This window comes from Homo sapiens, chromosome 14 (assembly GCF_000001405.40).
Source record: "Homo sapiens chromosome 14, GRCh38.p14 Primary Assembly".
Classification (NCBI taxonomy): Eukaryota; Metazoa; Chordata; class Mammalia; order Primates; family Hominidae; genus Homo; species Homo sapiens.
The window spans coordinates 85,545,042-85,571,400 of NC_000014.9; the positions used below are offsets into that span (position 1 = coordinate 85,545,042).

A 26,359-nucleotide genomic window follows, 5' to 3' on the forward strand; every position below is an offset into this window, starting at 1 on the left:
TGATTTTTGATCAGACACTACCCCTTAATACTGGAGGCTTATAACACCACCCCAGATCTTTTCATGTTAATTTATGAGACTGTTTAGAAACAATGTGCTCTCCTGGTTTCTTGAATTACAAAGAGTATTGGCAGGGCCAACTTCTTATCCAGAAGTCCAGTAATAACAACAGTAACAACAATATTAATAATGATATTGATCGTAAGGTTTATTTAGAGTGCTGTTTATGCAGTTCATGTATATTATCTCATCTAAACCTTGTACAGTAGGTTCTGTTGATAAAAGTTGTGAATAGCCCCATTTTACACAAAGGGAAACTGAAGTAGAGAGAGTTGCCTCAGATTGCTTGTTTTACTTTAGAGTTATTATTAATTGTCTTAAAAGGGTAGATGGACACTGGATAATTTCCAAAATCAACTCAAAATTTGTTTGTCCATGGCTTAAAAATCAAATTCAGAGGTGATTACTCACTGTCCAGTAGGTATAAATGATGAGCTGCTAACCAGTGGTCCAACTTTCTATATTTGTCTTTTCGAGTAGACAACTGCCTAAGAAATCATTAGTTAGTCTGCCACTTTTGGGTGAAAGAGATTCATGAGTCTCTCAATGTATTTCTGTAACATGGAAATAGTGAAGAATCATTAATTTGAAAACAAAGCATGACAACTTCTAGCACATTTTCAGTACTAAGGAAAGCTTGTGGATACATGCCTAATGATTAGGGGCTATATTTATTGTAGAGAACACTCTCCATTTTTTCCCCTTACCCTTTTACCAGCACTGCTAAATGGATTGATTTGAGATTCACCTCTTTTTCCCTGTGGAGGTGATAATGGACAACGGAATGACCAGAGGGAAGATAATAGCATAAAGTGTGTGGCCTCTGAGAGGGCCTGGGAAAAATGGAGAATTGACTGTGTTATTAATAGGTCAGCTTCACTGGTTTTCAAAATCTATGTAATTGCTCAGGCGGTAAGCTTTTATTGGGTGAAAAAATGATGAGAGATGGGCTCGGAAAGGCTTGTTCCACATTGATGAATGGAAAATAAGCACAGTATGTGCTTGCAAATCTTTACACTATTGAATTAGATTTTTGACCATCCCTCGCTTTTTGCACTTTCTGTGGTTGCACTCATCTCTACATGTATGAAAGTTGTGTTTTTTGAATTCTAGGGTTGTAATTAAGACCCTTCAGTTATTTGTCCATGGTATTTCTCTGTAAATATTATTAATACTGTCGAAATTATGTGATCCATTCCTTAATTCCTTCACTTCCCTTTAAGTAGCTAGACTGTGGCTTCTGTCACTTCTGTGTTCTTTTGTCACCATCTGCTCATTATCTGTCAAGAGGGGACTGTGAATTATTTCTGCCCTGGGCCAGTCTAATGGAATCCTTGGTGGGGCTGTTTAGGGAAGTAGGTACTACTTAGGTGTGGTAGCAGTTAGGTGAATGGCTCCACAGGCAGCCAGCTCCATTACCACATGAAAGCACCAGCAGCATTTGGCTTCCTGGTGAATTCTGTGGTGTTTCTTCTGTCTATGGAAGTGCAAATTTAGCTGAATTGGGTAGAACCGAAACGCTTGCCCTCTGCAATTTGCTCCTGAAAAATGATCAGGCCCTATAAAGGAAACCTTAACATACCAATGTCTCTGCTGCTAGAAATGGCTTCCTTGTTTGTCTGGACTACATGCATCCGTCAAGAATCAGCCTATGGCATGGTGTCCCTCTTCCTTCCCTCCAAGTGCTGAACTCACTTGGGTTTTCCACTGGACTTCAGTGTCACTGTGTTTTAGAATGAACTAAACATTCCCAATAAAGTCCTACTTGTGCTGAATTAACATTTCTTTATTAAACAAAATATGCTGCCTAGAATCAGTAGTTTGAGTCTTCTTTGATTACTGTCTTTTATTCATCGTCACGTGTTCTGTCACTAGTCTTAGGCACTTAAAACAAATTTCTGTTTTGATTATCCTGGGGTCATTGTAATTAAGCCCATATTTCTCCTTCCCTTTCATCTTTCCTTTCCTGACCTGCACACCAATTACATTACTCTTCCTCATTCTTGTGCTGACAATATTACTCTCCATTGTTTAGAGGATCAAGTCTAAACTCCCCAGTTTGACTTTCAAGGTCCCTCTTTCTCAAACTTTCCCTAGTCTTTCCAAAGAAAGTTATTCTTCCCTTCTGACCTAAATTTAGGATGTGTCCCCATTTTTATCTGCATAGTAGCCCCAATGTGATGTAAAATTTTACCAAATACTTTGTCTTTCTTTTCTTTCTTTCTTTTTTTTTTTTTTTGAGATGGAGTTTCGCTCTTTCGCCCAGGCTGGAGTGCAGTAGCGTGATCTTGGGCTTACTACATCCTCTGCCTTCCAGTTTCAAGCGATTCCCCTGCCTCAGCTTCCCGAGTAGCTGGGATTACAGGTGCCTGCCACCACACCCGGCTAACTTTTCTATTTTTAGTAGAGATGGGGTTTCACCACGTTGGCCAGGCTGGTCTCGAACTCCTGACATTGTGATCCGCCCGCCTTGACCTCCCAAAGTGCTGGGATTATAGGCTTGAGCCACCTTGCTCGGCCGCTTTGTCTTTATTTTCTGAGGGTAAGCTCATCTAGGGTATGAACCCCACAAGTCTGAGACAGGTCTCAAGTAATTTAGAAAGTTTATTTTGCCAGGGTTGAGGATGTGCACCCATGACACAGCCTCAGGAGGTCCTGAGGACGTGTGCCAGGGTAATAGGGGCACAGCTTGGTTTGTGTACATTTTAGGGAGACATAAGACATCAGTCAATATGTGTAAGATGTACATTGGTTCAGTCCAGAAAGGTGGGACAACTTGAAGCAGGGAGGGGGCTTTCAGATCATAGGTAGATGAGAGGAAAATAGTTGCATTCTTTTGAGTTTCTGATTAGCTTCTCCAAATGAAGCAATCAGATATGCATTTATCTCAGTGAGCAGAGTGGTGACTGAATAGAATGAGAGCCAAGTTTGCCCAAGCAGTTCCTAGCTGGACTTTTCCCTTTAGCTTAGTGATTTTGGGGCCCCAGGATTTATTTTCCTTTCACAAGGGTGAAGATAATGCTGAATAAATGTTTGAGGCATTGAATTGAACTCAGGTGTGTGGCCTCAACCTACTTCTGTGAAACTTCCATAGAGTACCACTCTGTCTACCTCATGTATGCTACTTCCCATTAGATTTAAATATTGGATAAATTAATATTTACCAAGTTTGCACAAATAACTCTGATATATATGAATTTTAAAATTATCTCATAGAAGAAGCTTCCTTTGTTCTCTCCATGGAATCTTTTCCAAAGCAGTGCAGCCTCTTGCTTTGAAAATAGGAAGGTAGAATATTCCAAATGCATCATAAGTCCTCTGTTTATATTTTTAAAACCTGTACTCTTTCCAAGCCTCTAGGCAAGAACAAATAGAAATAATCAGAGGCCTTAGAACTTGATTATGTTGAATTGAATTATTAAGCTGAGGCTTGATAGCCAAATTAATTGTGCTATAGTTTATATTGAAGAGATGCTTGTGATATTGCAAAACCATAGACTAGCTTGCTGGAATCTTCGAAGACATCTGGATGTTTTGGAAAATACAACAATCACATGCTTTTTATTATCTCCATGATTGTATTCTTTTTAAAAAGGAGCTGTGTAAATGATACAAACAGGAAGCAGGGAAATACTGGGTAGAAGAAGTGTGGTCCCTGGCGAGAGCCACACCCTCAAGCCTGGACCCATGGCCCAAAGTGAGAACATGCATTTCTGTTTTCCCCACCCGAATGTTGCCTTTTCCAAAACCATACTGGCCTGCCCTGTCCCCCATCCTGTGCCCATAAAAACCACAGGCCCCACCAGCAGAGCAGCAGAGCAGCTGAGAAAGACAGAAGAGAAGAAGTAGCTGGACGTTGGAGAAAAGCAGCTTGACTTCAGAGGGACAGCTTGACAGTGGGACCTTGGAGAAGAGTTTGACCAGGGATGGCCAAACTCCAGGGGAAGACCACCTTCCCACTCCATCCCCTTTCCAGCTCTTCATTCCACTGAGATCCACTTCCATCAGCAATAAAATCCTCTGGGTTTACCATCTTCAATTCATTTGTGTGACCTGATTCCCCCTGGATGCCAGACAGTGACCCAGGTACGGGTGCAAGAGACTGTCACACTGACCCTCCACTGAGCTGTCTAACACTTAAGCCATCCATGGATGGCAAAACTAAAAGAGTACACTGTAACACAGGGCCTCTGGGACTCTGGGGGCTTGTGGGCAACTCCTAGATGCTGCCATGGGCCTGCACGGAGTTTTGCTTCTGCCCAGTTGCCCAGAAGCTCTTGTCCTGGCCTCTGCACCTGCTCACCTGTGTGCTACCCTGCCCATGAGGGGTTGAGAGCTGTGGGCTGAGTAAATGAGCCAACCCCTTCACGAGTCTTGCAAAGAGTCTGAGGGGAATATCCCATTTCATAAAGATATAGAGTGAACATAGAGAGAAGGTCATGGAGTTTGGAATCAGACAGACTAGATTTGAATCCTGGTTCTGTCTCAAGCAACTAGGATGACTTCAGCATGTTTCTTGGTGCTTGTGTTTGTGGCTACTTCCTCAATTTTTCAGTAGAGAAAAAATAATACTCATAGGACCACTCTGGTGAATTGTTGAATAGATTGTGTGTTATCTGCCACACTTCAAGTACTAGCATGCATTAAAATCCCTATCCCTTTGCCCTCCAATGTAAAATGATATGAATTCTGTGGCTTACACATAGCTATTTTTTTTTTTTTTTTTTGGCCTGCATAGATAAGGCAATTCCGTAAGGCTGTGTTACCATTCTCCTAAAGGGCCTCCCTGTGGGGCCACAGTACATCTTGCCTAATTTCTTTTTAACAATATTTATTTCTGTGGTCAAGAAGAAGATAAGGTACCTTAGAAGTAGTCACTGTTCTATCTCAATTTGGATATGCTTGTTGAAGAACTCTTACAACCACTTATTTCTGGGAAAAAAAAAAAAGAAATATTTTCAGCCATCTCTTCACCTCAAAAACAGCAGGCATCGTGGATTATTGGAAGGGAATTACCCAGAGAAAGTGCTCTTAAAAACAACTGCATGTAGAGGAGGCTGGCTTATCAACAGGCAAAAAAGGAGATTTTTTTCTACTAAATTTCAGCTTGTCACTATAAACGAGAAAATAGCCACATTCGTAATATATTCTATGGGGACAGTGCTGTGAGTGTTTCTACTGGTGGAATTCTCAAGTACGAGATTCTAAGAATGAGCATTTACTCTTAGAAAACCCTAGGGAATGGCTGTTAGGAATCAGGTAAACAATGAAATGAGAGCCCTTTCAAACAGGGAAGCAAAAAAAGGCAGATCAGGTAAATGAGTTCACTGTAGACCACATTGTGGAAAATGTGACGTGATATGAGACACATTTCATTTAGCATGGATAACTAATGTAATTACAATCAGCTAATGAGTTTTGTTTCTTTTTCTGCATAATATTAACATCATCCAAAGTTAAGAAGGTATTTTTTTCCGATGAAAACCCTAAAGTCATGCAAAATTATGTGGACTTCCTTTCTGATTCTTGGAGAGAAGTTAGGGTTGTTTTAGCCTTTACCTACATTTCAGTTTAAGGCTTATCCACAATCTAGAAATGCAATGTTAAAAGATAAAGAAGGATCTATAGAACACATTTTTTTTAACTTAAAACATGGATATTAGAACTTATATTTGATTATATTTTTCTTTGTGCTGAAGGATTGATCTCCTTGTCTAACACACGTTGAAAATCTGGAGGGGGTTTCATTGGAAAATTGTAGCATTTCCTTTATTAGCGACCCTTAAAAATAACAAGAATAATTAATCTGCTGGTTTAGCTTAAATTTGGTCTTATGACAGGCATGCACACGAGCTGGCTTTTCATTACCCTATCCTCCTCCATGATTCTGTCTTGTGAAATCATGAATGGAATTTCTATGAAAATATATAGCAAATAGGTTCCTGACAAAATTACTATTCACATAATTCATCATCCTTAAGTGACAGAGATTTGTAAATAATGAAATCTAGTGAGAAATCTTTAATTTCATTTAGCTAGTAGCTTAGAAGTGATTCTGATTCCACCTGTTTACCAGAACTCCTAAAGAGAAAATGAAGAAATTTAAACTTCAAATCCCATTTCCTTTTCTTTTTGAAATTAAAAGCACCTTGTTGATGGAGGAGCAGTGATTGGTATCTGTGCAAGGTGGTATGTGGGACCATTTGATCATAACTGATATGATGTAAGGAATGGGGTTGCCTGGAAAAATTAGGAAATGGGAGGGGTGGGAGAGAAATTTAAGAAAGGCACAGGCATGCCACTGGTGGAAATTACCTTCTAGTATCTCCTTTTCTGTTTACAGTAGCTCTTACCTTTCTCCAAGGGATATGTATTGAGTATTCACAAAGAAAGTAAAATGGCTCCAGTGTTACCTCCATTTGTCCTGTTTATTGTTGTGGCTATGATGTTTTTGGCTAATTATCATTGTATCCTAAATTCTTTACTAAATGGATGGATGAATGCATGCATACATGGAAGGATGGACACATGGAAAGGATGAATATATATAGGGGTTTCGCCCTGAAATACCTTAAGATTTATTGTATTTTAGATTTTAATGGACCCGACTGAGATTACTGATGACTTAATTCACTTCTTGCCAGTGAGAAAAGGTAGCCATGTGGTGAGAAACTTGAAGGTGAGAACCATTTTCCATAATCTTTTCCATGTTTGTAACTCACATATTTTTTATTTCTTAAAGTTTCCATTTTGATTATCATTTCACTTCTATATCTCCTGTGGTAGGTAAGGCATATGTATTTATCCCTGTTTCTAGATTTCCAGAGAGGAAAATGAACTACCAAAGGTCATGTCCCTTTCTGTTTTGTGCATCCATGTAGCAGATGGACACCTTATCAACAACTCTTGCCATGAATTGGACTGTCAAGCAATGGGGGATACTCAAAATATCAATAGGATAGTGAGCAGGAGCATTAAATTCTAGGTTTTATGTTGCCCCTAAAAAAATCTGTGACTTCTGTCAATTTACTGAACCTTGGAGGCACAGTTTCTTCATCTGTACAAGGCCGGGCAGTTCTAGTAATTCTCTGATTCTCAGAATCTAGGGAGCTTGTCTTAGTGGTTAGAATTTGGCTCTGGGTTTAGTCTACTTGGGTTTGTAGGTACCTTCGCTGCTTCATAGCTTTGTTACCTTGGCAAAGTACTTAACCTATATAATCCTCACTTTTCTCATCTGCATAGTGGGGATAGCAGTAATAAAACCCCTTGAAGAGTTGCCATGAGGATTAAATAAGATAATCCACAGGAGGCATTTTGCATAGTGCCTGATGCAATTAAGTGCTCAATAGATTAGCAGATCTTCTACTGTGGCTTATTCAGAAAAAGTTAAGGTGAGTATCACTGATGTTTTTAGAAAGCAGTTGATATTAACAGGTTCCTATATGACTGATCCAACTGCCTGAATCATGCCCAAATCATTAAAGCTTTCTAAAGGGCAGAGCCATCATAACTAATCCCACAATGTCCCACAGGCCTCTTCAAAGAGAAAAATGGCCCCTCTGGGAGCTCAGCAATTGTTTCAGGATGATAATGTTGATAATTCCGTCGCATCATTGGGTTTTCTGGTGCAGACAGGTAAGACACGGAGACCTTTGGGTTGATGGCAAGATTTGGAGGGCTGATTATGGCGCCTTTGATGTGAGGAGGTATTCCTGCAATCCTTCCGAGACACCTAAGCTGCTGTAAGTAATGACTTTTGTTGCTCATGTATCTGATGCTTCTGCCACTGTGTTGTCTCTGAAAAATTTGCCAGCCTGACACCCAGGATCTAGTTGTAGAACACTGCAGGAGTAATGGTATTTTTTCATGTGGTGCTCAACATACAACTCCTACATTGAATTTTAACTATGGGATTTTTGTGAATTAAAGACTTTCAGGTAAAATAGATACAGTGAATAAGGTGGGGAATACCTAAGAGAGCAGCCCCCTTTCACCCATTGGCCCTTTTCTTTTGATTTGGTTAAGATTCTGTGAATATCTGCATTAGTTATTGTTATGAAATGCGTACCCAGCTCTTCTTTGTAGCCTTCAGAAAGAGCAAATAATTTAGTGTTGTGCAGCATTAAGGTTTATTGGCCACAAAACACAGATAAAGACTGTGATGATAAAATTTTAGAATGCAGACAGGGAGTTTAGTAGTGGCCAACTTTTAAATTCCTGTGCCCAGTAATCCACGTGCTCTCTCAGTGAGGCTATGCTGCTGGGACCATCTAAGGTAAGGGTGTCCAATCTTTTGGCTTCCTGGGGCCATATTGGAAGAAGAAGAATTGTCTGGGGCCACACATGAAACACAATGATAGCTGATGAGCTAGAAAAAAAATCACAAAAATTCTTATGTTTTAAGAACATTTATGAATTTTGTTGGCCCATGGGCTGTGGGTTGGACAAGCTTGATCTAAGGGTTATTTCTTTTGTTGAATCCTGTGGGGACTACGGACATTAGATTCACACTTTTATCGCCAGATCCAAGCACTGATTAGTTATCAAGTCAGGAGTTAACAAATATTTGTGGAAGGAAAGGGTGAGGACGGAAAGGAAAAATTGAGGGAGAAAGAGAAAGGGAAAAAGATTAGAGCCTACCTCCAATAGGTGACTATAAATATTTTGTTGTTGTTTTTAGTTTTCATTCTGCATTGTCACTTTGGGTAAGGATAGAGTGTTTTTGTGCTGTTGAAGAAATAGCATTAACAGATGAGTTTTCAGGTGTCTTAAAACTGAACTCTGCCTATAAGATGGACACAGTTGTCCAAACTACTTTAAAAAACAATAGATTCAGTTTTATACTCATTCACTTAAAGGGTAGGGTAGATACTTGTCAAATGTGGTTTTGAGGGTTTACACTGGAAAGAAAAATCTCATCAAAAATATGAAGCAAGGCCTCCCTTCTCTTTTCATTCTCATTTGGAAGAAAGGGGAGAACATCTTATTTTAGTCTTTTTTAAAGAGCATAACTTATTCAAAGGCTTTGTTACACTCTGCAGGACACTACCCGTATTTAAGTTAAAAAAAAGGATTCATGAGTGAGCCAGCAATCAACAAGTATTTACTGAAGCCTCATATACCAGAAAGTTCAAAGTGCTAGTTTAAATGGTCTTCCTAAGGTATTTAACAAAGTCATGTCACAAAATACATTGTAGAAGATAAACATTTATCAGTGAGTCATCACAGACCACAAGTGCCCTTACAACAGAGTGGACGTATGTGCTTCATTTTCTGATATATTAGTAAATCTGAGAAATATTGTCCAGGTTGTATAGGATGTACAGTATTTTCATTGTCTTTAAGTGCCAGCGGACTACAGATGGCTCTCAGATCCCCTTGGATCACTTCTGTGTGGTTTGTGTACCTATTTTGAATCCTCTAGTCTTTTCCTGAATCGAAACCTCACATTCCAATTAAAATTGCTTAGAAATTCAGCTCACCTGATAGGGTTGAGAATATTTTCTTCTCAAGTTGTGGTTTCTACTTGATCCCTTATTTGTAAAATTGAATTCACTGACTTTGATCTAAATAGTTAGGGTTGTGAATATTAGTCTAGGTTTTAATCTAATCCAAGGAATGGTTACTTCTCTTTAGTTTTTCCTTTCTGATTATAAAAATAGAGAGTTGTGCTATGAATTTCAATAAACAGCCTGGTTGGGAGAACAATTCTGTCTGTATCATTACAGGATGCCCATTAAGAGTTGACTCAAAGGTCCCTTTTCCCTGTGGCTGAAGGTGGTAGTTTGCCGTCCTGCAGAGTCAGTGGTGGCATCTGTCACATGCCACTTCCGCAGAATGCACTGATGTGGATTAAAGATCTATAACATCATCTAATAATGCCTATCTATTGGAGATAGGCATCACTTTGATAGTATAACTTTGGGCCTTAGAGATGTGGTATGCAAGTTAGAAATTTGATTGTACTATGTGTATAAAAGCTGTTTTTAAAGAAAGAGCTAAAATCTAAGGTGGTAGCATACTAAAGCTTAGTTTCTTACTTTAAATATCACAGTAGATTCAGATCCTGACTTATGAGGCCAAAAAGGTTAGCAGTCCTGATAACCTTGCTGTACATTTAGAAATGAACTAGTCAGTATGTGAGAATATGCATAGATTCCTAGAAGATGTTACACATCAGCAGATCAGCAGTGTATTAGTCTGTTTTCATGCTGCTGATAAAGACTACCTGAGACTGGGTAATTTATAAAGAAAAAGAGGCTTAATGGACTCTCAGTTCCATGTGGCTGGGGAAGCCTCACAATCATAGTGGAAGGCGAAAAGCACATCCTACATGGCAGCAGACAAGAGAGAATGAGAACTAAGCAAAAGGGGTTTCCCCTTATAAAACCATCAGATCTCATGAGACTTACTTATTCACTACCATGAGAACAGTATGGGGGAAACCACCCCATGATTCAATTATCTCCCACCAGGTCCCTCCCATAACCGGTGGTAATTATAGGAGCTACAATTCAAGATGAGGTTTGGGTGGGCACACAGCCTAACCGTATCAAGCAGTTTAACTATTTCTCTCTTATCTGAAATCTATTTTATTTTATTTTATTTTATTTTATTTTATTTTATTTTATTTTTTTAGAGATGAGGTCTCACCCTGTGGCCCAGGCTGATCTCAAACTCCTGGCCTCAAGTGATCCTCTTGCCTCAGCCTCCCAAGTAGTTGGGATTACAGGTGTGAGGCCCTGTGCCTGGCCTCTCTCTGAGATCTTAAAATGAATCTGGTGAGGAAAGAAGAAAATTGGAAGAAAGCCAACTATTAAAAACTAGAAAACACTTTTAAGGACTTGAGGAAGAAATAAGCATTAAGACGTATACATGTTTCTAATTTCTAGCAATGAGATGTTAGTATAGTACAGACGGAAGGCATGTAATTAAGAAATTTACCATTAAGTTGGGAAATCCTATCCCATGAATACAGATGTTTTAGGCTTGCATAAAACTACATGGAATATCTTCAATGCAATAATAATAAGCAGTGCTGTCTGGACATTTAAAACTTTTTTAAAAAGTTTGGTATCCTAGAGACAACTATATAGATTTTGCGAGAAAATGCCCACTGGGTCATTGAAAAATAAGCTTATAGGGGTATATGCATGGCACAGTAATTTCATTGGTAGGAGATTTCTTTTAGATTTTTAGCTTGCCTTTAATGGGCTCTATCCTACATCCCAAATACCTTCTTTTCTTTTCCTCCATTTCCCATACAAGTAGTGATGTGTTAATTTCAAAATGTTAGTGATAAAATACTGTTGCTAAAAATATTTCAGCTTGCCTGGGCTTGATCTGGGGAGGACACATGTTTCTGGGAGAGAAGCCACATTCAACCCTGTAATGTTGTGTATATGCTACTCTGCAGGGCGCACCTATGCCAAGAGGCAGTTGGAGAAAATGGCTAAGCTGGTTGTGGAGGCAGACTCCCTGGGTTCAAAGTCTCATTTTTCTACACACTGGCTAACTGTAGACAAGTTACTTATTTCTCTGTACTGTAGTTTTCTCATGTAGAGCCTGGAGATAAGACCAACTTTATAAAGTTCTTGAGGAATTAAATGAGTTAATACATAGAATAGTGCTTGGCACATGGTATATACACAATAAGTATTAACTGTTGCTATTAGTTGTCAGTAATGCCTTGCTAGCACAATTTCTGTACCTTTTGTGATATTAGTCTGTTTTCACGCCGCTAATAAAGACATACCCAAGACTGGGAAGAAAAAGAGGTTTAATTGGGCTTACAGTTCCACATGGCTGGGGAGGCCTCAGAATCATGGCGGGAGGCAAAAGGCACTTCTTACATGGCAGCGGCAAGAGAAAATGAGGAAGACCCAGAAGCAGAAACCCCTGATAAAACCATCAGAGCTCATGAAACTTATTCACTACCACAAGAACAGTATGGGGGAAACTGCCCCCATGATTCAAATTATCTTCCACTGGGTCCCTCCCACAACACATGGGAATTATGGGAATATGATTCAAGATGAGATTTGGGTGGGGACACAGAGTCAAACCATATCAGATGTTATGAATAAACCTGCAAAACACAGAGACCCTCTTACTAAGGTAGAAGCTTAAAAAACATGACTAATTTCCAGTGTTTTTTTTTTTCTGAAGCTTTTTTTAATTAGCCAGCTACCTTACTAGTTTGCAAATGCCTTAAGAGCAAGGTTCATATCATATTCATCTTGTAATACCTCTGCCGCACCTAACCGAGTATTGAAGTGTTGAATTAATAAATCTTCTGGAATTTCTTGTTTCTTCAGGTTACATTAGGAATATGAAGTATTATGAATGGGGCACCTAGATTTTCAAAAAGGAGATAGAATAGATGGCATCTCCACTAGGCCCAGATAGAGTATAAAAACAAAAGCACGGCAAGGCGCGGTGGCTCACGCCTGTAATCCCAGCACTTTGGGAGGCTGAGGCAGGTGGATCACCAGAGGTCAGGAGTTCGAGACCAGCCTGACCAATATGATGAAACTAAAATTTAGTCTCTACTGAAAATACAAAAATTAGCCGGGTGTGGTGGCATGTGCCTGTAATCCCAGCTACTTGGGAGGCTGAGACAGGAGAATTGCTTGAAGCCAGGAGGTAGAGGTTGCAGTGAGCCGAGATTGCACCACTGCACTCTGCCTGGGCAACAAGAGTAAAACTCCATTTCAATAAATAAATAAATTAATTAATTAATTAATTAACAAAAGCAAACTAAAAAGACACTTCTCAGAGCTACTTTGCTTATGTCGCTAGTTCATGGTAGAAGGAAAATGGTGACTGTAGAAATGGTCAAACTGGGATCTTTTTCAGGAAATGAAACACGTAATGTAGACTTCTGTGGAAAGCATCCATAGACTTATGTGGAAAGCATCCATAGACTTCCGTAGAAAGCATCTGTAGACTTCCGCAGAAAGCATCCGTAGACTTCCGTAGAAAGCACTGATGATGTTGTATAAACAGACCATAAGGAGATTGAAGCCCTCCATGTATTCTGTTTGCCCTTGGAATATATGTGCATGTGCATGTGCTTGTGTGTTTATTTTCATTTGGGTTTATGCCCTATTTTTAATTTGTAAGCAGAACAAGAGGCAAAGGGCTCTCATATGCCCGTAGAATTATATAGTCAGGCTTTTCAGGAATTTTTTTTTTAATCCTTCAACATTTATCTTTGCATCAAAAATAAATTTTTTAAAAAAAGTAAATAAGGATAAAAGAAAAACCGAGTAGGTGGGAGAGAAGGAGGAATTTGGAGTCATGGGAATGGGCAGGTGTTCAGGTGATTTAAAAGGAGAAGTAAAGGCATGTTCCTGGATAAATGTCGATATGCATTATTAAATGAAACAGTGGTAAAATATAGACTGTCAGAAGCATTTTTCTTCCAGAGACATGAGGAGAATTGAAATGCAGTTTCAAAGGAGGAGTCTCTTTCGGTGTTTCTTCAATCATTTTTTTGTTTGAAGCTTTAATTACAGTGCTCCTTGCTACCTAATGCTTTCAGTTTAAAATGACATCACAAAAGAGAGGGGAAGATGTAATTGCTCAGATGAAGGGCAGCCATCACAGCAGCATTGAGGTATTTACTCACCAGGGAGTTCCTGCTACATGATTCTTTTCTAGATCAACATTTTGTTTTTGGAATGCTTTTGTATCATGCATATTTGACATGGTTTGTCTTTAGAGTGATTGCTCTGATACTGCTATTGCCAGAGCAGATAATAACCTTCGGGAAATAATGTATTCTGAAATAAAGGAACTAGTTATTTGCATAGTTTTCTCTGGATTGGATAATGTGTACAGGTGGCTAGTGGCTTCCTAAACGTTTAGTGTTCTAATCAAATAAACTTGTATTTAAATACATTAACACAGACCAATACACGCACATAGAAGCACATGTGTACACATAGATAGGTGCACATGCATGTGTACACATACATCACTGTCATAGCTCTTCATGCAGAATACTTTGCTATTCAGCCCCATCAACACATACTTTTTGAAAATATGCTCAGCAGAGGGGTACAAGCATACAGAGGACTCAGACCCCAGTCTCAACTTCTTCACAGTCTGATGGGGACAGACTTGGGAGCAGAGATGCTATGATGGGGGAGGCTGTGTACATTGCAGCCTGAAAACAGAGTAGAAGAGGGGCCCTTTCTCCTTCGGGCCCCTGGGAAGACTCCAGGAGGTGATGGATGAACTTTGAGCTGGTCATTGGTGAAAGAACATGGATTAGCTGAGCAGAAAAGAAGAAGGAATACTGGATGCAGTAAGTAACCACTTTGGGACTAAATTTACACCAAAATGAGTATTAGTTCCTTTGGTTCCAAATGGTTCAGATGTTCTTTAAAGGCACTGTTCTTACTGCCCAGAGGAAAGAGAGTGAGCTGAACCATACATGCTTGTAGTAAAGATTGTATGTATGTCATATATGTATATCTATATATAATATATCTACCCATGATTATACGTTGTCTATAAAGCCCCTTCACACTTTTTTTTAACCTCATAGCAGCTCAGCAGGTCAGTTTAATATGATCATTATTTTTCAGCTAAGGAAAGGGAGGCTCACAGAGATACATGGCCCAGTTTCCCTCCAATGATGTTCTGGGACTCACTGCTCTTACTCAGGTCTGTGCTGCCCATTACCTCCGTGAGGTTAGATCACAGGTTACAAGTTAGATCTCTGATATCCGGATCTCCTGATGGCATTAGCAGCGTTTAGTCAGTGACTTTCCTGGGCCTGCCTGGATCACTCTCACTTCATGTGGATGATCTCTCTCAGGAAGCCATAGATTTTGAGCAAAAATGCAGACTTCCCAGAGGCTTTGCCGGGTCCTCCATCTCACTCCCCTCAAGAATTTCAACAAATCTGTTAATGCTATTTTGTCATTTCTGTACTTCAAAGTGTTTCTGCCAGGCATACCTTGTCTGTCCCAGCTCTGACTCTTTGGGGCTGAGTAGGTTTACTTGTTTATTTTTTGGTTCTTACATGTCTCCAACTCCATGTGGATTTACATCCTACTGGGTGAGGTTTTGTTTTTCCTTGTGTCTATAGGTGAGAAGATGTGAACATACAGTTAATTGAAACTAAGTCTAGAATCATGAAGCCAGAAGGAGAAATGTATTAGAATTAGAAATGACATCACAGGCCGGGCGCAGTGGCTCATGACTGTAATCCCAGCACTTTGGGAGGCTGAGGAGGGCGGATCACGAGGTCAAGTTCAAGACCAGCCTGGCCAACATGGTGAAACCCCGTCTCTACTAAAAATACAAAAATTATCAGGGCATGGTGGCACGTGGCTGTAATCTCAGCTACTTGGGAAGCTGAAGGAGGAGAATTGCTTGAACTGGGACTCGGGAGGCGGAGGTTGCAGTGAGCCGAGATCGCACCACTGCACTCCAGCCTGGGCTGCAGAGCGAGACTCCATCTCAAAAATAAATAAATAAATAAAAGAAATAAATAAAAAATAAAGAAAAAAAAGAAATGACATCACAAAAAAGGGCTGGCTCCTCATAAAGCAGTCTTCACACACAGAATGTATGCTGTGTGACCAGGAATTTGTAGCAGCTGAGAAACCATAGTTGTTCATAAGAAAAAAAAAAAAATTAGAAGGCACAATATGCCAGTATGGCTAGCCTGCCTGCGTTAGGGTCTCAGTGATGCTGGTGGGAAACCTAAAAAAAAAATGTGAAAAATTTTCTTTTCTTCTTTTCGTGCAATTAGATCTTCTTGACTAAGAAAAAATGCAGACAAGCAATTACTCCGTTACTTTAATTACTCTCCTAATTATAACGATAACCTTGTCACATTATCATAATTCCCCAAACAGAAAAACGCATGCTCCAAATTGCACCAATATTTGATAATTTTACCTTGTTAACGGCTCACTGTCAGTATGTAGAGCACTACATTTTTTCCCCATTACCTTTCTATTGCACAGTCTATATTTCTTTGCCTCAGAAAATGATAATACATTCTGTACAACATGTTTGTGTTGCACAACCCCGTGATTTGAATATGGCTTTTTAACGTCTCGCAGTTTCAGAAGCTATCTCCTGAGCAGTGTGTAATTCTCTCCTGGCTGTTTGATGGTAATGGGAGCTGTACATGTATCTGGAGAGAGGAGAACCAGCCTGGGGGTAAGAAAGTAGCTATTTATCAAGGTATCTTACAATCTCAGTTTATGTTGTTGTAAAATGTTATTGTGCACGTTCCCTGAGATTATATCCGCTAGACATTTGTCAGCCATTGTCAACATACTGTAAGGAATAAGCATGTGTATTATTCCAGTCAACTTAATTTTATTCTGCATTTCTTTGCCCTCATTTTCAAAGAGACTGACTACTGGGGACCCTTGCTTAATGGTGCCATCTGCTAGGTTATGAATTGTACAGAACGAATGTTGGAAATGTTCTAGAACACTCACAGCACCCTGGCAGGTAGATGGCAAGGCATCCTGATGCACGGCTCCTGCCATCATGGAAATTCTCCCTCCGTTATTACAGCAAATGATACTGTTGACAGCCAATAAAGTTACAGAATGACTGCCTAGAATACAATGATAAAGTAGGAACGAGATAAAATAGAATCGTACCAGAAGCCTTTCCCACTAGAATGTCAAATTGCCCTTTTTTAAAAATGTATCATAAAGTAACCTTGAAAATCATTAGTTCTTTAGATAGCCCCGGTCTTTGGTAAAATTATGAAATTCTATTGCTGTCATTGTCTTTGTATTTTGTTGTTGTTGTGGCTGTTGTTTGGTTTTAGTGCCCCTAAAATTCCAGAGCTTCTCATCCTCACATCTATGTGACACTTCTGTCACTTCCATGGACACATTCCCTCATTTCTTTTCTGTCCTTAAGCTTTCTTACCAATTGAAACTGGTCTCAAGATAAGTTGAAGACTCTTTCCCGCTACAGGGAATATGACTAATACCAATGCTTAGTGTTAGTTTTCTGACAGTTTTTACACTTTAAAGCTATGAGTAAAACCTTGGACTAAATGCAGGCATCTGAGAAAGTAAGTAACAATGCCGTGGAAGGAAAGGCATCACTTGTTTACACACCTGGTCACCTTCTTTAGTCCATGGGACTCACTCATGTTTCCAAGAGAATATTTCATTTCCACACAGACATAGACATTTCTGACAGTTAAATCCAAAGTAACTCAAATGCTACATAACATTTTTACATTGTTTTGTGTGTTTCTTGGGTGTGTGGCATTTGGCATCAAGAAGACCCGTGTTTCAATGCAATCTCTGCCACATTTTGGCTGTGAAGACCAAATGCAGGTTATTTGACTTTTGGGAAACTCAGTCTCCTCCTCTGAGAATTGAGGTTTGTAATACCAACTCATGAACTCATTCTAAGGATCAGATGAGATAATAGATCAGAAAGAGTAGGTGGGTCTATAATGTTAGTTACTTGAAGCTGGTTCCCAAATCTCCTCCTAACCCACCTTTCTTTCTTTCTTTTTTTTTTTTTTGAATCTAGACTCAAGATATATTAAAGACTATGCTCATGGACATCAATTCTTTCCTGTCCTTTAGGGCAGTATTCAGGCCACACGGTTCAATAACGGGAAAGAATGTCGTCACATGATTGCATCATGTTCTTCAAAATGAAATCTATTGAACAGTATAAACAACAAAGAACATCATTTGTCAGAATGACCTGGGGGAAATAGTCCAGTGAAACTAAGCAAAGGGAACTTTATACCGTGAGGGAAAATCAATGGATTGTAACAGAACCCTGCAAGAAGAGACATAGCTTTCAAGTTCCAGAGACCTAGAGGTGACTGAGAAGCAGGATGTACCAGAAACTGGGCTTCTTGTTCTACTTATCTAGCGCCCTTTTCACAGTGTTGTATATGTAAATAAATAATAAAGCAGTGTGATTTTTAATTTTTTTTTTTTTTACTTATGTAAAGTTAGACATCAAAAAGCATCTGTTGGACCTCCACTCCTTAAAAGGAACACATACTAAGTTTGAGAATTATGGTTCTCTGGGCATTGCTGCCTGGCAATTACAGAAGCCTAGGGAAGTAGGGGTTATCACAGTTGTTCCCAGGTAATATCACAGTAGTTACCCCTGTCACCAGGGCCTTACAACCACTTCCTAATGGTGAGATTGGAATGAGACTGGATGTGTCTGACTCCATGGTCTATGTTGTTTAACAAATGCCAGATACATTGAGTCCCACACACCTTGTGTTAGTTTGTTCTCACACTGCTGTAATAAGCTACCTGAAACTGGGTAATTTATGAATAAAAGAGGTTTAATTGACTCACAGTTCCTCAGGCTGCACAGAAAGCATGGCTGGGGAGGCCTCAGGAAACTTACAGTTGTGGAAGAAGGGCGAAGGGGAAGCAGGCACCTTCTTCACATGGTGGAGCAGGAGGAAGAAAGAGAAGAGGGAAGTGCCACATACTTTTAAAAAACCAGATCTCCCAAGAACTCATTCACTATCATGAGAACAGCAAGGGGGAAGTCCACCTACATGATTCAATCACCTCCTTCCAGGCCCCTTCTCCAATGTGGGGATTACAATTCAACATGAGATTTGGGTGCGGACACAGCAAAACCATGACTTGGCTCAGATCTCTTACCTCCAAACCCTAGTACTTTATGTAATCTTAAAATAGAAAAACAGACAAACAAAAAAATAGATAAAGTTGACTTTTCTCTCAAGAAAAGTGAAATGTTCTATTTCCTCTTAGGTGGAGACCATGAGTATGTCTGCTATTTGTACATAACTCAATGGATGATAATTGATCTAAATTCCAGGGAAGACATGAGAGTTTAAAGGGAGACACTCATGTAGAAGCCCTAGTGTGAAAGGGCCCCTACATTTGACACTTACGTGGACAGCCAGAAGTCAGGGCACTTGTCCTCTTCCTACATAGATGAACTTATTAAGGGAAGGAGAGGGTGGACAGAGCGTTTTGCTTTTCTATGGCCCTGTTTTGAATGTTGACATGGCAGAACACCAAAGTGGCACTTGGCTACCTGCTCTTCTCTGCCTGTACATAGGGAATATTTCAGCCAAATGGCATTGTTTTCTCATAACCCACGAATTGATTTGGCCAGTGACTATGTATTACTCGAATATGTATTGCTTGGATTGGCTTCAATTGCCTATATCAGTTTAGAAGCTTTAACAATGTTTAACCCATATGTTGAGTAAAATTTGGGAGTATTAAAAGAAACACTGGTTTACCTCATTTTAGTACAAATGAATCGTCTTAGAGAAATAGAAAGCAATCAAAAATTAAACAAGTAAATACAATCACCAGTAACCCGGGTTAAAAATATATTTAGGTAATTAAAAGCCTAAGTCATTACATTTCCACTGGACCAACCAAGATTGTTCCAAATGTATTCGTGGAAGATTTATTAAAGGATATTTTGACATTGGCAAAAGGGCTAGTTTTCTGGTGGGTTATGAGGCTCTCAGATAACATCAAAAGGCAGTATTTGAAAGTAAGATTCTGTCATGCACACCGTTTTCTGTGTCTTTTGAAGACGTGGGTAACTCTATTACAGAAAAATACTACTATACCTAGCATGATTGAAACAAACTGTATGTAATGTAATGTAATAGTTCTTAAACTGTGCAGCTTCGCATCCTCTGCAAATCAGCTCCTACATCTGGACGATGAGAATTGTAATAGCACTGATCTCAAAGGGGTTTTTGGTTGTGATGTGAGATAGATAAGATTTATCATGTGATCACTAGTTTTATCAAGTGAAGGAGATAAGAGACTCATCCTATGATCACTAGTTATCTTGGCTCTCTGCCTTACCATTTCTATGATAGCAAGAAAAGAGCAACAAAGTTATGAACTCTGCCAGTCTTGGTATGCAATTTGTAAGATAGTATGTATAACAGTCAGTGGTACAAAGCCACAGAAATCCTAAAGTGTTATTTTAAACCAGATTTCCATTTTCGTCACCTCCATTCCTTTCAGGGATCTTGGGAAAGGGAATGAACTACTTTACTTTGAAAAACAGTTTTGTTTTGTTTTATTTTCTGAACGAAGATAATGAAAGCCTTCCTGACCCAAATAGCATATGCAGCCTGGAGTGTCATATATTGTTTTTGCATAGGAGTGATATTAATAACCTGAGTATGTATGCAGTCATCAAAATAGCTTTTGTCATAACATCACTTGTGTGCTGCTATTTGTCTCATAAGTAATCTGTCACATTCATTTTAAGTTGAAGTGTGGATATGTGACAGGTGGAATCTACAATTGTTTTATTGGGCTGGATGTAAAAATAATGACCTTGATGTTGCTATTCAGAATATTATGTGGCATCTGGGACCCCGATAGTTTCCCAATATTATTAATAGTGATATTACTACCTCTCCATTACATGCATGGTTAGTGATCAAAATTTTTTTTATTTATTTAAATTTTTGAATGATTTTAGAAACCATATGCATGGAGATGTATTAAGATATATAAGCTTCTTGTGGTGAGGTTATTGGTTTTAAAATACACATCGTTAGCTTTTAAAATAAAAGTTGGCATTTCGAGTTGTCATGCTTGAAAGACTCTTGGAAGTAGCATTAAAAGAATCCTAGATTGAAAGCTAATTTAGGTCAAGAGGGAAAATGTGCTTGATGTGACACTGATAACTTCATACCAATTGAATCCATGGGGCCTTGGAACCTGAAATGGAATTTATGATAAAATACCCACCATGAGGTCTTATCTTAATGGAGAAAACACATTGCTTTGTTAGTCCTCCAGACAGAAACTTCATTGTTTGGGGAATGATTTCAGTAGAGGATGAAAGGATGAATAAGCAAAATACACCGATTTTTTTGTCAACTGCCACCCCTCCCACCCCGATGTTCCCACCAATCATTAGAATAAGAAACATGAGTCTTTGTCCTCTGCCAAATCTAAGCCATGCCAACAAGTAAACCTGTATAGGAAAATGACACAATTAGGGAAATTTGCAAGTGCTATTATGCCAGCAGTAGTTTTTTCCATGAAGTAATCTGATGATTCATACACTGGAGATCAGGAGACAAAACAGATTCTACCTGGTTAGAGACCCACTATCACAATGATACTTGGCCTAATTCATTTTGGTTGAGGGCCTGATGAGCCACACATGCGTGGGTCAGGGAAGATGGTTTTCACCGGATGCCTGTTGAGTCTGATTGTAGAGACTTTCAAGAGAGGATTTTATTGAGGAAAAAAAGAAGCAAACATAACAAAGTATTATTCTGCTTTAGACTGAAATCAGGGACTGTTTTCTGAGAATAAAATGACTTCATAAAGGAATCAAGAAAATTATCTTGATGCTCAGCCTGTAAGATAATCAAAGGTAAATTCTCAAGTTGAATCCTAAAGGAACACTCAGTCCTCTTAACTTCCATGGTTGTGTGTGTGTGTGTGTGTGTGTGTGTGCAAGATAGAAATTTCTGCAGCTATTTAGGTGAAAGCACTTTGGAAAATGCAATATTTCGTATTCTTCAGTAGTTGATCCAAATACATACGGTGGAATATACAAGGTTTATATTCCTGGCCTGGTTGCAGGGGAAGAAAGTGTCATCTCGTGGCTGAAAAATAGTCTCAGTGTTGGATACTATGAAATCTTCAGCATGAAAAAAAAAAAAAGAACATATCCCTTCTATGTATTAGCTTCCCAGGAATGAAGCAAACATAAATATTTTTCAGTTTGGTCATTTGTGAATTAGTCATGATGAAAAAGCCTTCCGTTTCTGCCAGATGAAGAGTAATACAGCACAGAACTTTGAGGCAGTATTAATATTTCTGTTGTGCCTAAAAAGTAATCAACATAGTTTCCATGGGTCACACAAAATTTCTCATGATTGAAACAGTGTCATTGAAAGTTGGGGGAAGGACACATCGGTTAGAACATATTTAAATGAAAAATGTATTTATGCTTTCACTTCAAGGTAATTTTATCAGAGGGGCTGGGTTTGGGGGAAGATACCTGCAAACACGTGCATAAAGTTTGGGCTTCATGAAAGTGGGTGAAAGCATCATATTTGAGCTGCCACATTTGACATGTCCCCCTCAGAATCCCATGGACACTGGACAGTTTCCTGAACGCTGTGGTTTCCCCATCCCTGGTGGGTGTCTGCTTGTAATAGAAGCTCCAAAGATACCTGGAATCTCGAAGCTTCCTTCGGCATCTTCCTTTATTAGACCAACTTGAGGCTTTCTAGAAAAGCATACACTCTGTGTTTGCAATGTGTGTGTGTGCCCAGTTGCCACATTATGCTGGTTAAGAGCATGGATTCTGGAGCCAGACTGCATTGGCTTATATCTTAGCTCTGCCACTTCTTCAGGAGCGTAAGTTTCTGCATCACCCTGCCTCAGTATCTTTCTGTACAATGCACATAGTTAGAGTACCTGCTGTTAGGGTGTTTGTGAGGATTGAAAGAGTTAGTATTGTGAAAGGCTTAGAAGAGGGCCTAGCACACGGGAAGTGACTTACATTTTTTTTTTTTTTTTTTTTTTTGAGACGGAGTCTCACTCTGTCACCCAGGCTGGAGTGCAGTGGCACGATCTCTACTCACTGCAACCTCCGCCTTCTGGGTTCAAGTGATTCTTCCGCCTCAGCCCTCCGAGTAGCTGGGATTACAGGGGCGCGCCACCATGGCCGGCTACTTTTTGTATTTTTAGTAGAGACGGGGTTCCACCATATTGACCAGGCTGGTCTCGAACTCCTGACCTTGTGATCCTCCCACCTCGGCCTCCCAAAGTGCGGGATTATAAGCGTGAGCCACCGCGCAAGGCCTGATTTTTATTTTTTTCTATAGAGATCAGGGGAATGTTAACTTCCCCTAGAAACAGCATGACTTGCCGTCCTCTCAGCAGGTGAGTTACAGAAGGCCTGTAGAGTACCACAAGAAAGAGGCCTGACTACTTATTTGGAAATTAGCTGTTTTTGTTCTGCTTGTGGAGGGTTCCTTGAGAATTTGGCCCTTTCCCTGTTTTATAAGGGGACAAATAAAGATGAGATAGGGAAGTAGGGGTAGGCATTGCCTTTGTTCATGGGACCTTGCTGATCTGCGGGGGGATGATTGCTGGGGGAAGATCATGGGGCTTGGAGGCAGAGCGCATAGTTTTGGCTCCAGTTCTGCCCTAGGTAAGTCATTCAGTGTCTCGCTGAATGGGCTGAGTTTTGCTTTCCTGCTTCTGCACTTGAAATGCTTATTGTAAGGAGAGTGAACATGGAAATCATAAAATGATTGGACAGGCTCAAGGACCATGTGTAAGGCGTTAATACCAAGTCAGTGGTCATTGCTAGGTATGTTTCTGAATGAATTTAATTTTTTTTCTGGTATAACCTGCAGTTGGGGATTTTAGTTAAAAAATGTGCTCACATTCAAGAAGCCTGGACCAGCTCTGGACCAAATTGCACAAGAGGTGGTGTTTGGGCTTCAAATCCAGTTCCTGCTTTTTTGTTGTTGTTGTTGTTCTTTTTCTCTTTGTTTTCATGAACTTCTTCAGGGACTCAATGGCCTGATCCTGCACTCTTCGCCCCACAATTAATGAGGCCACTTCACTATGGAGCCCAACCTTGGCTGCTCTCTCTCCCTATTTCTGGGATCTTTACCTTTCTTCTCTCACCTACTTAACTTTTGGAAACCCAGTTTTACTACGTGTAACCTGGAGATGCCATTACGGACTTCAGAAGTTAACATATGTGGTATGTAAATCATCTAGCACAGTGCCTGGTGTATATCAGCCGCCTCTCTCTGCCTCTCACTCATTCCGTCTGTCTCCTCTTTTCCCTCGTCTCCCTTCTCTTAAGGATTTGCCTGCCAATCTATCTTTTATTTTAGAAATCCCAACGGTGGTACTGATGGATCAGTAAACCCTTTCATGATACATAGTAGCAGTTTCCTAGTGACTGCAACTCTTCACTGAAACAAAGACTTCACAGGTGGTGGATTTTTAGGCTTTGTGACAAACTCGTGAGGGCTCTTTGGGGACAAAGGAGGACATTTTAGCCACTCCAGATTACCATTTTTGCCTTTGAGCATTGTTCTTTAATTTCTCCTAGAAAGAAAAGAGGAATCTGCCTGAAGCAGCTCTGCCATCCGCCGACACCCTTGGCAGTTGAACACTGATTGTCAAGCCCACCGTGGGCAATGCAGGTTTCCTTTTGCCAGCCTGGCATGGAGTGAAGGGGAAGTTTGTGCTCCTCTGGTTGCCTCAGCTGACCAGGAAACCGTACCAGGAGCAGCAGGGAGGGCAGAGTCTAGTGGAGTCCTCTGTGCTGGGACTGTGGGACCAGGACAGGGCAAGGACAGCAGGAAGGAAAGACCAACTCATGCAGCAAACACCACCCACACTGGATGCATTCAACTCAGTCCTTAGAGATAAATGTTAGAGACAAAGGCACCATTAGGAACCAGGACACTGGACGTGTACTTTAGAGTTCTCATAAAGTCTGCAGACAGTCACAGTGAGGAATGCGCTGTAAGAATTTCAGATGAGGTTTATTTTGTCCCCTAGCCCTTTGGTTATCACGGTTTGTTTTGGTTTTAGCAGAGCTAATAAAAAATACATTTATCTTGCTACACAGTGATGAGACAATAGCAGAATACCAACCCTGAAATCACGTTATTAAAGCATTTTCTTTTTCTGTGCTTTTGGAGGGATTTTGCATTAGCCAAAAAAATGATGACAAGTGTTGTCATGACCAAACTTTCTTTTAAAAGTTTTGGCCAGATTGAATTGTAGGATCACGTTAACATGACAGTGGGTCTTAGTGGTATTTGTAAGATGTTGGTATGGCCATTTTGTCTACCACAGTGTTCTTTAAACAGCCTTTCTCCAAATGGGCATATCGTCTTTCAGCCTTACAGAAATCAAAAACAGAAAGTGACAAGCTTTCACACCAAATAAGACTGTGTATCTCCACCATTCTGTTCTCCAGCTTCTGATATTAACAGCCATCACCCAAGAGGGTAGAGCTGTTATTTTGACACATAAATTGTACCCTGGGCTCCTTTGAAAATGTTCTCTGGTTCCTTGTCAAGTTTGCATTGAATATTAAAGATAGAAGACCTTGGTTTTTATAGGCATCACATTCCAACTCCAAATTAGATTCTATGTGAGGATATTGTAAATAACTCAGTAAACACATATGAAAATTGAACATGTAACAATTCAACTTCCTTTTCATTTTAGGAATTAGAATTCATAGTCTTACTTTCTTACCTTAATCTGATTACAGTATTAGAAGTATCCAAATGACTTTACATTTAGCTATCAATTATTATTTTTTAAAACATTGCATAGGTGTGCTTCAGTTTGTACAGTTAATGAAAGAGCAAAGAGTGAAGTGCATAGTTTTACAGACTTTTTTAGGTTTGTATTTCCCTTTAAATTCTCCTTATTTTTATTTATTTTATTTATTTATTTATTTATTTATTTATTTATTTATTGAGACAGAATCTCACTCTGTCGCCCAGGCTGGAGTGCAGTGGAATGATCTTGGCTCACTGCAAGCTCTGCCTCCTGGGTTCATGCCATTCTCCTGCCTCAGCCTCCCGAGTAGCTGGGACTCCAGGCACCCGCCACCATGCCTGGCTAATTTTTTGTATTTTTTTTTAGTAGAGACGGGGTTTCACCTTGTTAGCCAGGATGTTCTCGAACTCCTGACCTCATGATCCGCCCGCCTCGGCCTCCCAAGGTGCTGGGATTACAGGCGTGAGCCACCACGCCCGGCCAAATTCCCCTTATTTTTTAAAAAAACAACTCTGGTGGCTTAATGTATTCCATTATACTTGCCTTTTCTTTGCACTTTACTGAGTCAAGAGTTTAGATTTTAAAGCTTCTGTTACTTAAAGTTTATGGTTTTCAGTAGTGTTGCATTTGGATGATGGTAGGTGGTGACAGTAGATCTAGGGTCCTGGTAACATTCTGAAGATTTGGGACTCGGGGCTTTTCTTCATCTGCTTTGCTCAAGACTGAGATGGTTTCAATGGATATACTTTACTTCAGCCCTGGATGATATCTGTGAATGTGTTTCTGTAGAAAACGATGTCATCTTAAGAATCCCATCATGTTAACTTAGGGTCTGCTATCATGTTTTTATATTCTGGAATTTCTTTGAGAATAGAAATTATCACCTTATATAATAGTTTCAGAAATTTTAACAAACTATAAAAAAAAGTTGTGGGGTGGGGAGAATATTGAATTATTAGGTGGTCAAATAATGTATAATATGACATTTTCACTTAACT

The 26,359-nt window shown here is 39.7% G+C and overlaps 1 protein-coding gene across 9 annotated transcripts in view, besides 1 other annotated feature; it reads left to right on the forward strand.

Moving 5' to 3' along the window:
- FLRT2 (fibronectin leucine rich transmembrane protein 2) overlaps window positions 1-26,359 on the forward strand; it is a 124,285-nt gene that overhangs the window by 14,898 nt on the left and 83,028 nt on the right. For 2 of the 9 annotated variants that reach the window (NR_144386.2, NR_144385.2), the window contains exons 2-3: window positions 16,149-16,248; window positions 17,602-18,011. The exons of 6 other annotated variants lie outside the window; for them this stretch is intronic. The gene's annotated coding sequence lies outside the window, so the exon portion shown is untranslated. Of the gene's footprint in view, window positions 1-7,691; window positions 7,803-16,148; window positions 16,249-17,601; window positions 18,012-26,359 lie in introns of those variants that run through there. One more of the 9 variants, NR_144387.2, reaches the window with a different exon arrangement.
- Window positions 23,827-24,345: an enhancer, noted in NCBI's record as "NANOG hESC enhancer chr14:86035212-86035730 (GRCh37/hg19 assembly coordinates)". NCBI's record gives its function as "activates a minimal SCP1, AML or CMV promoter by ChIP-STARR-seq in naive H9 embryonic stem cells {active_cell/tissue: H9 hESC(naive)}" and the evidence as "EXISTENCE:reporter gene assay evidence [ECO:0000049][PMID:30033119]".